Genomic DNA, 12,140 nt, shown 5'->3' on the forward strand with positions numbered 1-12,140 from the left:
GTTTTGGTTTTGGTTTGGTTTTGGTTTTTTTTTGAGACACGGTCTCACTCTGTCGCCCCGGCTAGAGTGTGGTGGCACCATCTCGGCTCACTGCAACCTCCACCTCCCAGGTTCAAGTGATTCTCCTGCCTCAGCCTCCTGAGTAGCTGGGATTACAGGCACATGCCACCACACCCAGCTAATTTTTGTATTTTTAGTAGAGATGGGGTTTTGCCATGTTGGCCAGTCTGGTCTCAAACTCCTGACCTCAAGTGATCCGCCCGCCTCGGCCTCCCAAAGTGCTGGGATTACAGGTGTGAGCCACTGTGCCCGGCCCAGGGATCTGTTTTTGTCTCCGCTGTGTCCCCAGCACCTCAAACATATTGTACGGAGCTGCGACAGCTGCGCAGTCAGTGATGACTGAGAGATTCCTGGCCCCGTGGGCTATGGCTCCTTCAACAGTTTGTTGTTTAAAGGTTCTTCACTTTCTCAGCGTGCTGATCAAGAGACAAGCCTGGAGGAGAGGCTCAGTGGTGCTCCTGTGTAGATGATGAATTCAGGTGTATCTTGGATGGTAAATGACGTTGCATTTAAAACCAAGCAAGTGGCCAGGCGCAGTGGCTCACACCTGTGATCAAAGCACTTTAGAAGGCCGAGGCGGGCGGATCACCTGAAGTCAGGAGTTTGAGACCAGCCTGGCCAGCATGGTAAAAACCCGTCTCTACTAATAATACAAAAAAACTAGCTGGGCGTGGTGGCGGGCACCTGTAATCCCAACCACTCAGAAGGCTGAGGCAGGAGAATTGCTTGAACCCGGGAGGTGGAGGTTGCAGTGAGCTGAGATCGCACCACTGTACTCCAGCCTGGGCGACAAGAGCAAGACTCTATCTCAAAAATAAAAAAAATTAAAAATTAAAATTTAAAATTAAAACAAACAGCCGGACGCAGTGGCTCACTCCTGTAATCGCAGCACTTTGCGAGGCTGAGGCGAGCGGAATACGAGCTCAGGAGATCGAGACCACCCTGGCTAACACAGTGAAACCCGTCTCTACTAAAAAAAAAAAAATACAAAAAATTAGCCAGGCGTGGTGGCAGGCGCCTGTAGTCCCAGCTACTCAGGAGACTGAGGCAGGAGAATGGTGTGAACCCGGGAGGCGGAGCTTGCAGTGAGCCGAGATTGTGCCCCTGCACTCCAGCCTGGGCAACAGACTGAGACTCTGTCTCAAAAAAAAAAAAAAAAGAATAAATAAATAAATAATAAAAAATAAAAACAAACAAGTGAACGTTGTTATACGTCAGTCTTACCAATTGTTCCTCTTTCCTCCCAGTAGCTTGGAGCTCGGCGGCACAACCAGCACCATCTGGTCGCGATGGTGGACACGGAAAGCCCACTCTGCCCCCTCTCCCCACTCGAGGCCGGCGATCTAGAGAGCCCGTTATCTGAAGAGTTCCTGCAAGAAATGGGAAACATCCAAGAGATTTCGCAATCCATCGGCGAGGATAGTTCTGGAAGCTTTGGCTTTACGGAATACCAGTATTTAGGAAGCTGTCCTGGCTCAGATGGCTCGGTCATCACGGGTAAGTGTGCCGTTTCCTAGAAAGTTTTATTTAGAAATGTTTCTTCCTCCAAGAAAACTGTTCTCTCTTTTTTTTTTTTTTTTTTTTGAGACGGAGTCTCGCTCTGTCGCCCAGGCTGGAGTGCAATGGCTCGATCTCGGCTCACTGCAGGCTCCACCTCCTGGGTTCACACCATTCTCCTGCCTCAGCCTCCCGAGTAGCTGGGACTACAGGTGCCCGCCACCACGCCCAGCTAATTTTTGTATTTTTAATAGAGACGGGGTTTCACTGTGTTAGCCAGGATGGTCTCCATCTCCTGACCTCATGATCTGCCCGCCTCGGCCTCCTAAAGTGCTGGGATTATAGGCGTGAGCCACCGCGCCCGGCCGAAAACTGTTCTCTTTAGCTGGAAAAGAAGTCACACTTTTTTGCAAAGAAAGCTTCAGACGTGGTAAAGCATGACCTCCAGTGCCCCTGGGCCCTGGAAGGCGCGTGTCACGGCTCACGGTGCCCCCTCTTGTGAAAGCCATGCACACATCAAACAGTGCTTGAGATTCAGTCACGGGGAACAGCTAAAGTACACAGACCCTAACCCCAGCAAGCCCGCGGGGGGCAGCTAGACATTTTTAAGAGGAGACGTGTGCAAGGGTCTGCATAGAGGTACTGTTGGTAAGAGGGAAGGATGGGAAACAAGCTGTACATGCGTCAAAGGGAAACAGATAAATTGGGATGCATTTATACAGTGGTATATACTTCATAGCAATTTAAAAGAACAGACTAGGCTAGGCGCGGTGGCTCACGCCTATAATCCCAGCACTTTGGAAGGCCGAGGCAAGTGGATCACTTGAGGTCAGGAGCTTGAGACCAGCCTGACCAACATGGTGAGGCCCCATCTATACAAAAAAAATTTAAAATTAAAAAAAATTAGCCAGGCATGGTGGTGCATGCATGTGGTCCTAGCTACTCAGGATGCTGAGGGAGGAGGACCACTTGAGCCCAGGAGCTCGAGGCTGCCATGAGCTATGACTGCCACTGCACTCCAGCCTGGGTGACAGTGAGACCCTGTCTTTAAAAAAAAATTTTTTTAAGCAACATTGAATGAAAATAAACAAGCTTAATGAATATTTTTATGATCCAATTAATGTAAAATCTTTTATTTTTTATTTTTTGAGACAGAGTTTTGCTCTTGTTGCCCAGGCTGGAGTGCAGTGGTATGATCTCAGCCCACTACAACGTCCATCTTCCGAGCTCAAGCAGTTCTCCTGCCTCAGCCTCCCTAGTAGCTAGGATTACAGGCACCCGTCACCATGCCGGGCTAATTTTTGTATTTTTAGTAGAGATGGGGTTTCACCGTGTTGGCCAGGCTGGTCTCAAACTCCTGACGTCAGGTGGTCCGCCTGCCTCAGCCTCCCAAAGTGCAGGGATCACAGGCATGAGCCACTGCACCCGGCCCAATTAAAATCTTTAACACTAAACAATCTAGTACATCACTGGTGGAAACAGACATACACCTATTGCAAAGGGCATCTCAGCTTTAAGGACTCAGTCACCTCCTGAGCAAGATGGAGGGAGAACTGGGGAGGGGTCCCATGGGGACTGTAATTCTCTCTAGGTTGTATATTTTTAAAAGACTTCAGCAGTGTGATAAACCTGGGTGGTGTGTACATGGGTATTACAGTCATGTTGCTTAATGACAGGGACAGGTTGTGAGAAATGCATCCTTAGGTGATTTCATCATTGTGTGAAAGTCATAGAGTACACTTAAACCCAGATGGTAGAGCCTGCTGCACACCGAGGCTCTGCGGTGCAGCCTGTTGCTCCAAGGCACGCACCTGTACAGCGTGTTACTGTACTGAACGGCGTAGGCCCCTGTGACACAATGGTAAGTATTTGTGCGTCTAAACATACCAAAACATATAGTAGAAAAGGTTACAGCAAAAATACAGTATTATCATCTTATGGGACCATGATACCACAGTTGAACTTATGGTCTATTGTTGACCAAAATGTCACTGTGCAGTGTGTGACTATACAGAAATAAGCTCAGAGAAATTAAGTAACTTGGCTGGGCGCAGTGGCTCACGCCTGTAATCCCAACACTTTGGGAGGCTGAGGCAGGCGGATCACCCGAGGTCAGGAGTTCAAGACCAGTCTGGCCAACATGGCAAAACCCCATCTCTACTAAAGAATACAAAACATTAGCTGGGAGTGGTGGCAGGTGCCTGTAATCCCAGCTACTCTACTCAGGAGGCTGAGGCAGGGAGAATTGCTTGAACCCAGGAGGCAGAGGTTGCAGTGAGCAGAGATCATGCCACTGTACTCTAGCTTGGGCGACAGGGTGAGACTCCATCTCAAAAAAAAGTTGGGGCGTGGTGGCTCATGCCTGTAATCCCAGCACTTTGGGAGGCTGAGGCGGGCGGATCACTTGAGGTCAGGAGTTAAAGACCAGCCTGGTCAACATGGTGAAACCCCATCTCTACTGAAAATACAAAAATTAGCCAAGCATGGTGGTACACACCTGTAATGCCTGGGCAACAGAGCAAGATTCCGTCTCAAAAAAAAAAAAAAAAAAAGTAAGTAACCTGCCACGGTTCATACAGCCAGAAAGACACAGAGCCGGGCCTGGACCCCGCCTCTCAGCTTGCTCTAGAGGGCTATTCTCTGCATGCTGGCATGATCGCGCCTTGTAAAAGGTGGCAGTGTTCTCAGCTTAGTCAATCAGGAATTGCAAGAGGCAAGTGAGCCCCTGAGGACTCTGGGGGGCCTTTGTGACCGAGCAGCTTTGGGAGTGACCCTGACAGACCTTTACAGGTGGTGCAAGTTTTGACTCCCTTTCTCCTGGCGCGTTAAGCAGAGGATAAGCGCTGTGGAAGGAGTGAAGGTGTAGGGAGATCATGGCCCCCAGAGCAGTGGGGAAGGGGACAGGGAGGCTGGAGGAGAGCAAGGAAAAGGCTCCGTGTCAGGTGGCGCCTTGAGTGGCCTGGGTAGGTTGTCTTGCAGTGAACCCGGGTTAATGGCCTTGACAATGACCGCATTGTTTCCTGAGCACTGCAGGCTGCCCACACACCTCACACCTCGGCTTGCCTAAGCCCAGAGCAGCCTTGTGAGGTCGTTGTTATGTTTATTTAAGGAAGGAGGAAAGGAGGCAGGTCCCAGGACATCCTGACGTGCTGGAGATCACCAGCCCAGAACCCAGCTCTTAACCCCACAATGTGGGACCTTTCTTCACCCATCACAGACACACCCCATGCTGGTTCACCGTTTTCCTATAATGACTATTTGTGCTATTTATTAGAAAAATCTTTTCCTTATGGATTTGAAAAGATTTATCTTGCTTTTGTTTTTCTTTTTTGCCTTTCTTTTTTAAGGCAGGCAGGCTCCCGCAGCCCCACCCCCAGGGTGAAAAATATAGTTCATTGTCTAGTAAAAGAGTTCAGAGATACACTTTTTTCTTTGGGTAAGATATACTCTAGAGCTTGTTCTGAAATATGGAATTTGTGTGAGCTGCGGGAGTGGGTGGGTGTGTGGCTCTAGCTCTGGAAAGTTCTTTCCTGGCAGTGGCCAGGAGGGCTGCCCAGCCCCCTCCTGCCTCCTCTGGCAGCTTAAACACAGGACCCCTTATTCTGTGCTCTCTCCTGACCCCTGGTCCTCATGCAGGAGGGAACCCTGCTCTTCTAGGGTCCTTTTCTAAAAGTAGTGTCTTTTAGGTCATTGTCAAGAACTATAATCTAAAATGTATTTTTAACTCATCTGGAAATTCTGACAGAGGTAAGGCTTGAGAATTTCCTGCATACTAGCCTTGTGGTCTATATAATCCATTAAAAGCCACATTTAACCCAATTCCACAGACTGAACTGTGCTTCCCATCTAAATAAATTAAAAGCAGGCCGGGCACGGTGGTCACGTGTGTAATCCCAGCACTTTGGGAGGTCGAGGCGGGTGGATCACCTGAGGTCAGGAGTTCGAGACCAACCTGGCCAACATGGTGGAACCTCATCTCTACTAAAAATAAAAAAAATTAGCTGGGCGTGGAGGCGTGCACCTCTTAAGCTTAAGGACATATTTCTTATGATCCAATTAATGTAAAATATTTTATTTTTTATTTATTTTTTGAGACAGAGTTTCACTCTTGCTGCCCAGGCTGGAGTGCAGTGGTGCGATCTTGGCCTGTAATCCCGGCTACTCAGGAGGCTGAGGCAGGACAGTCGCTTGAATCCAGGAGGCGGAGGTTGCAGTGAGCCAAGATCACACCACTGCACTCCAGCCTGGGCAACAGAGTGAGACTCTGTCTTTAAATAAATAAATAAATAAATAGCGAGGGTTCAGGGCAGGAGAAAAAGGGTTCCAAATTTGTTCTGAACCAATTCCAAGGAACTTTATGGCACAAAGAAAAAAAAGGGGAACTTACAAAAAGTGACCACACTGAAGCGTCCTGGTCACCCATCCCTGGTTTTGACCACCAGCCTTTAAAGTGGCAAGCGGGTGATAACCCATTTCTTATTTCCCCCTCAGCATTTCCTCACTGTTATTCATACATGTGGTCATTTGTACTCATCTCACAATTGTTAAAACCTCTTTCCTCCCTTCCAGGTTTTACTGAACTGTTACTGCGAAGTCTGAGAGATGAGGTCATTTAAGATTATTTCTTATTTGTAAATTAGATCGTTCATATTTGTACCTAATCTGATCTTTTGGGTAATATTCCTAGTTATGTAGACTGGTCTCTCAGAAGAGCCGGATATTAAATGCAGTACTTTAAACTTTACACCCAGGAGACCGGATGGGTGAGGCTGGTTCACTCGGCCAAAGTACCATTTTATCTCTGCTTTTTCTTCCCGGCTTTATTGCCATAATTGACATACAATAAACTGCATGTATTTAAAGTGTACAATCTGTTGGGTGTACACACACACGCATCTGTGAAACCATCATCACACTCAAAATAGTGATGTAGAAATTTTGCTCCTTAGTTCGACTAAATCTGGGTTCTTGTGTCATGACCAGGAAAAATTAGGCACGTGGACACGTTGAAGGGTGAGGAGAGCAGTATTGGGCGAAAAGGAAAAAAGAAAAAAACTCTCAGCAAAGCTAGAGGGGATCCTGCCAATGAGTTCCCAGCTCACAGACTGATTAGCAGGCCACCACACATGAGCTGGAGGCCAGGCTCCTCCCGCTGCGCAAGGTGAGAACTTCCCGTGGCTCCACCCCATTCTCCCAATGCCCAGGTGGGTCCCCGTCCCTTGCGGGCCTGTCCAGACAAGGGAACCCTGGGCAGGTTCCCTCATCTACACAAAAGCACCTGAGGTAAACACTTGTGGGGCAGGTTGCAGATTCTCTGGGGACGCCCCCCTTCTCTGCCTCCTGCATCTATCAGTAGTGCCTCTGTCTGTCACCCCTAAAGTTTACTTGTGCTGTTTCTAATTCCTCTTTCCCCAGCCCCGTGCCTCCCTGCCTCCCTCCCCCAGTAAACCATGAATCCACTTTCTATCATTCTAGGTTGCTTTATATTTCCTAGAATTTTATATAAATGGAATCATACAGCACGTACTCTTTCTAGGCTGGCTTCTTTCACTCTGCAGAATGGCTGTGAGACTCATCTGCATTGCAGCAAGCATCAATAGTTCATTCTTCATCCATCATGTGGACATAGCACAGTTTGCTGATTCACGCACCTGTTGATGAGCATTTAGGTTGTTTCTAGCTTATGGCTATTACAAATAAAGCTGCTATGAACATTCACGTACAAGTCTCTGTACAACCCTCTGCTTTCATTTCTTTTGAATAAATACCTAGGAGTATGACGGCTGGAACAGATGGCAGGTGTTTGTGTAACTTTTTAAGAAACTGCCAAAATCTTTTCCAGCATTTCAGAAAAATCTTAGAAAATGCTATACTATGTTATATTCCCACTGGCAGTATATGGGGGAGTTCCAGTTCCTCCATACCCTCATCAACATGAGGCATGATCAGTCTTTTTAATTTTAACCATGTCAGTAGGTGTGTGATGGTCTCTCACTGTGGTGATTTTTATTTGCACTTCCCTGGTGATTTTGAGCATCTTTTCGTATGCTTATTTGCCATATATCTTCTTTGGTGATATTTCTGTTCAAAGCCTTTGCTCATTTTTTAATTGAGTTGCTTTTCTACTATTCACTATTGAACACTATTTATATATTTTGAATACAAATACTTTATCAGACATGTGATCTACAAATATTTTCCCCAGTGTGTGGTTTGTCTTTCTTTTCTTTCTACTGATAGTATCTTAAAAAAAAAAAAGAAAAAAGATTGTTTTGTTTGTTTTGTTTTGTTTTTGAGATAGGGTCTCAATCTATTGCCCAGGCTAGAGTGCAGTGGTGCGATCATGGCTTACTGCAGCCTTGACCTCTTGGGCTCAGGAAACCCTCCGACCTCAGCCTCCCAAGTAGCTGGGACCACAGGTGTGTACCACCATGCTTGGCTAATTTTTTTTTTTTAGATACAGAGACTCGTTATGTTGCCAGGGGTGGTCTTGAACTCCTGGACTCAAGCGACCCTCCCACTTCGGCCTCCCAAAGTGCTGGGATTACAGGTGTGAGCCATCATGCCCGACCAGTTCTTAATTTTGATGAAGTCCAATTTATCAATGTCCTTTTTTTATGGATACTTCATTTATTTATTTATTTGAGAGAGGGTCTCACCCTGAGCCCAGGCTGGAGTTCAGTGGCATGATCTCAGCTCACTGCAGCCTCAACCTCCCAGGCCCAGGTAATCCTCCTACTTCAGCCTCCCAAGTAGCTGAGACTACAGGTACCTGCCACCATGCCCGGGTAAGTTTTTTGTATTTATTTGTAGAGACGGGGTTTCGCCATGTTGCCCAGGTTGGTCTCAAACTCCTGGGCTCAAGTGATCTGCCCATCTCAGCCTCCCAAAGTGTTGGGATTACAGGCGTGAGCCACCATGCCCAGCCATATATATATATATATATATATATATATATATATATTTTTTTTTTTTTTTTTTTTTTTTTTTTTTGAGACAGAGTCTCACTCTGTTGCCCAGGCTGGAGTGCAGTGGTGCAATCTTAGCTCACTGCAACCTCCTTCTCTGAGGTTCAAGTAATTCTCATGCCTCAGCCTCTTTAGTAGCTGGGATTACAGGCATGTGCTACCAGGCCCGGCTAATTACCAGCCTTATATTTTTGAACTCTGTTTAAAACATTTAGGTGCATAAACATTCAGGCTTGTTATATTCTGTTGATGAACTGAACCTTTTATTATTATGAAATTGCTGTTGTAATCCGTGGTAAAATTATTTGTTCTGAACACTACTTTGTCTGTTATTGATGTAGCCACTGCAGCTTTCTTTTGATTGGTGTTAACATGGTATATCTTTTCCCATTCTTTTTCTTTTAACTGGTTTGTGTCTTTATACTATGGTTTGATTTAAATCTATTATCTCACAATTTGTTCTCTTTGGTACATCTTTGTTTTGTTCCCTTTTCCTCTTTTTATGCCTTCTGTTGAATTAATTGAGTCTTTTTTGTTTTGTTTCATTTAATTTTGTTTTTTGAGACGGAGTCTCTCTCTGTCTCCAGGCTGGAGTGCAATGGCGCTATCTCGGCTCACTGCAACCTCTGCCTCCTGGGTTCAAGCAATTCTCCTGCCTCATCCTCCTGAGTAGCTAGGATCAGAGGCATGCACCACCACGCCCGGCTAATTTGTGTGTGTGTGTGTGTGTGTATTTTTACTAGAGACGGGTTTCACTATGTTGGTCAGGCTGGTCTCAAACTCGTGACCTTGTGATCTGCCTGCCTTGGCCTCCCAAAATGCTGGGATTATAGGCGTGAGCCACCGCACCCAGCCTAATTGAGTCATTTTTAAGATTCCACTTTATCTCCTTTGTTGGCTTATTATTTATAACACCTTCTGGTGTTATTTTAGTAGTTGCTTTAGGGTTTATAGTGTATCTCTCTAATGTCTCCCAGTCTACCTTCCAGTGGTATCATTCTATCTTACAGATATTATAAGAACTTTATGACAGTATACTTTCATTTTTCCCTTCATGCATTTGTGGTAATGTTTCACATAATTTTATTTATTTACCTACATTATAAATATTACAATATGTTATTGTTTTACATAGACAGCCGGTTATCTTTTTAAGATAGTAGTAAGAAAAATTTTTTACATTTACCCACATAATTACCTTTTCTAGTGCTATATACCTTTGTATAAATCCAGATTTCCATCTGCTATCATTTTCCTTCTGCCTGAAAGACTTCCTGTGATATTATCTATAATATGGCTCTACTGGTAACGAATTACTAGCTTTTGTATGTCTGAAAAAGTCTTCATATAACCTTCATTCTAGAAAGTATGTGATTCAAAGGGCCGGGCACAGTGGTTCACGCCTGTAATCCGAGCACTTTGGGAGGCCGAGGCGGGTGGATCACCTGAGGTCAGGAGTTCAAGACCAGCCTGACCAATAAGGTGAAACCCTGTCTTTACTAAAAATACAAAAATTAGCTGGGCATGGTGGCTCATGCCTATAGTCCCTGCTACTTGGGAGGCTGAGACAGGAGAATTGCTTGAACCCAGGAGGCAGAGGTTGCAGTGAGCCAAGATCACGCCACTGCACACCAGCCTGGGTGACAGAGCAAGACTCCATCCCCCTGCAAAAAAAAAGAAAAAGAAAAAGAAAAAAGTATGTGATTCTACATTGGCAATTTTTTTTTTTTTTTTTTTTTTGAGACAGAGTCTCGCTCTATCACCCAGGCTGGAGGGCGGTGGTGCCATCTTGGCTCACTGCACGCTCCGCCTCCCAGGTTCACACCATTCTCCTGCCCCAGCCTCCCAAGTAGCTGAGATTACAGGCACCCACCACCACACCCGGCTAATTTTTTTGTATTTTTTAGTAGAGATGGGGTTTCACCATGTTAGCCAGGATGGTCTCAATCTCCTGACCTCATGATCCGCCCACCTCGGCCTCCCAAAGTGCTGGGATTACAGGCATGAGCCACCGAGCCTGGCCACTTTTTTTCTTTAAATGCTTTTAAGATGTTCCTACTATCTTCTTGTTTTTAATTAATTAATTTATTATTATTATTATTATTATTATTATTATTATTTTTTTTTTTTTTTTTTTTTTTAGAGACAGGGTCTTGCGCTGATGCCGAGGCTGGAGTGTGCTAGTGCCATCGTAGCTCACTGCAGTCTCAAACACCTGGTCTCAAGCAATCGTCCTGCCTCAGCCTCCTGAGGAACTAGGACTAGAGGTATATACTACCATGCCCAGCCAATTTTAAAAATTTTTTGTAGAGGTGGAGACTCGCTATGTTGACCAGGCTCCTCTCGAACTCCTGGCCTCAAGCAATCCTCCTACCTCTGCCTCCCGAAGTGTTGGGATTACAGGGATTACAAGTGTGAGCCACTGTGCCAGTCCCCACTGTCTTCTGGCTTGCATCGTTTCTAAAAGAAACTTGGTGTCATCCTTATTTTTGTTTCTCTACATGTTATATGTCCTCTTTATCTGGTTGCTTTAACTTTATTTATTAATTTTAGTTTAATTTTTAATTGACAAATAATAATTGTATTTTTATGGGGCACAATGTGATGTTTTGGTCTATGTTTACATTGTGGAATGTGTAAATCAAGCTAGTGAACATATCCACCACCTCACACACTTACCATTTTTTGTGTGTGGTGAGAACATGTAAAGGCTGCTCCTTGAGGCCAGGCCCAATCCCAGCACTTTGGGAGGCCGAGGCGAGTGGATCACTTGAGGTCAGGAGTTCAAGACTAGCCTGGCCAACATGGTGAAACCCCGTCCCTACTAAAAACACAAAAATCAGCCAGGCGCGGTGGTACACGCCTATAGTCCTAGCTACTTGGGAGGCTGAGGCAGGAGAATCACTTGAACCCAAGAGGCAGAGGCTGCAGTGAGCCAAGATCATGCTACTGCACTCCAGCCTGGGCAACAGAGCAAGACTCCATCTCAAAAAAAAAAAAAAAAAGTCTATTCCTTGAGCAATTTTGAAATACACAATACATCATTGTTAATTATGGTCACCATAGTGGGTAGTAGATCACTAAATCTTATTCTTCCTGTCTAACTAAAACTTTTTTCCTTTTGACCAACATCTCCCCATTCCCTCCCTCAACCTCAGCCCCTGATAACCACCATTCCACTCTCTACTGCTATGAGTTTGACCTTTTTAGATTTCACATATGAGATCACATGGTATTTGTCTTTCTGTGCCTGGCTTCTTTTACTTAGCATAATACCTTCCAGATTTACCCATGTTGTTGCAAATGGAATTTCCTTCTTTTTTAAGGCTGAATAGTATTCGTGTGTGTGTGTGTGTGCGTGTGTGTGTGTGTGTGTATCACATTTTCTTTATCTCTTCGTTCATTAATGATCATTTAGGATGATTCCACATCAGGCTACTGTGTATAGTGCTGCAGTAAACATGGAAGTGTAGACATCTCTTCAGCATACTGCTTCCAATCTCTTTGGATATAAACCCAGAAGTGGGATTGCTGGATCATATGTAGTGCTATTTTTGTTTTTTTGAGGAACCTCCATACTTATTTTGCATAATGCTATTCTAATTCACAATACTA

At 45.3% G+C, this 12,140-nt stretch overlaps 1 protein-coding gene across 26 annotated transcripts in view, besides 2 other annotated features; it reads left to right on the plus strand.

Annotated features, from left to right (window-relative positions):
- The window catches only part of PPARA (peroxisome proliferator activated receptor alpha), a 93,231-nt gene that overhangs the window by 46,509 nt on the left and 34,582 nt on the right, over positions 1–12,140 (plus strand). For 12 of the 26 annotated variants that reach the window (XM_047441420.1, XM_047441421.1, XM_047441424.1 and 9 more), the window contains one exon: positions 1,311–1,557. In XM_047441420.1, coding sequence (XP_047297376.1) covers positions 1,350–1,557 — 208 coding nt within the window. In that variant the 5' untranslated portion in view covers positions 1,311–1,349. Of the gene's footprint in view, positions 1–1,307; positions 1,558–6,540; positions 6,719–12,140 lie in introns of those variants that run through there. The other 14 variants (XM_047441423.1, XM_011530240.3, NM_005036.6 and 11 more) reach the window with 2 other exon arrangements.
- Positions 3,779–4,383: an enhancer, noted in NCBI's record as "NANOG-H3K27ac-H3K4me1 hESC enhancer chr22:46596710-46597314 (GRCh37/hg19 assembly coordinates)". NCBI's record gives its function as "activates a minimal SCP1, AML or CMV promoter by ChIP-STARR-seq in primed H9 embryonic stem cells {active_cell/tissue: H9 hESC(primed)}" and the evidence as "EXISTENCE:reporter gene assay evidence [ECO:0000049][PMID:30033119]".
- Positions 4,384–4,988: an enhancer, noted in NCBI's record as "NANOG-H3K27ac-H3K4me1 hESC enhancer chr22:46597315-46597919 (GRCh37/hg19 assembly coordinates)". NCBI's record gives its function as "activates a minimal SCP1, AML or CMV promoter by ChIP-STARR-seq in primed H9 embryonic stem cells {active_cell/tissue: H9 hESC(primed)}" and the evidence as "EXISTENCE:reporter gene assay evidence [ECO:0000049][PMID:30033119]".

The sequence above is a fragment of the Homo sapiens genome, chromosome 22 (assembly GCF_000001405.40).
Source record: "Homo sapiens chromosome 22, GRCh38.p14 Primary Assembly".
Lineage (NCBI taxonomy): Eukaryota > Metazoa > Chordata > Mammalia > Primates > Hominidae > Homo > Homo sapiens.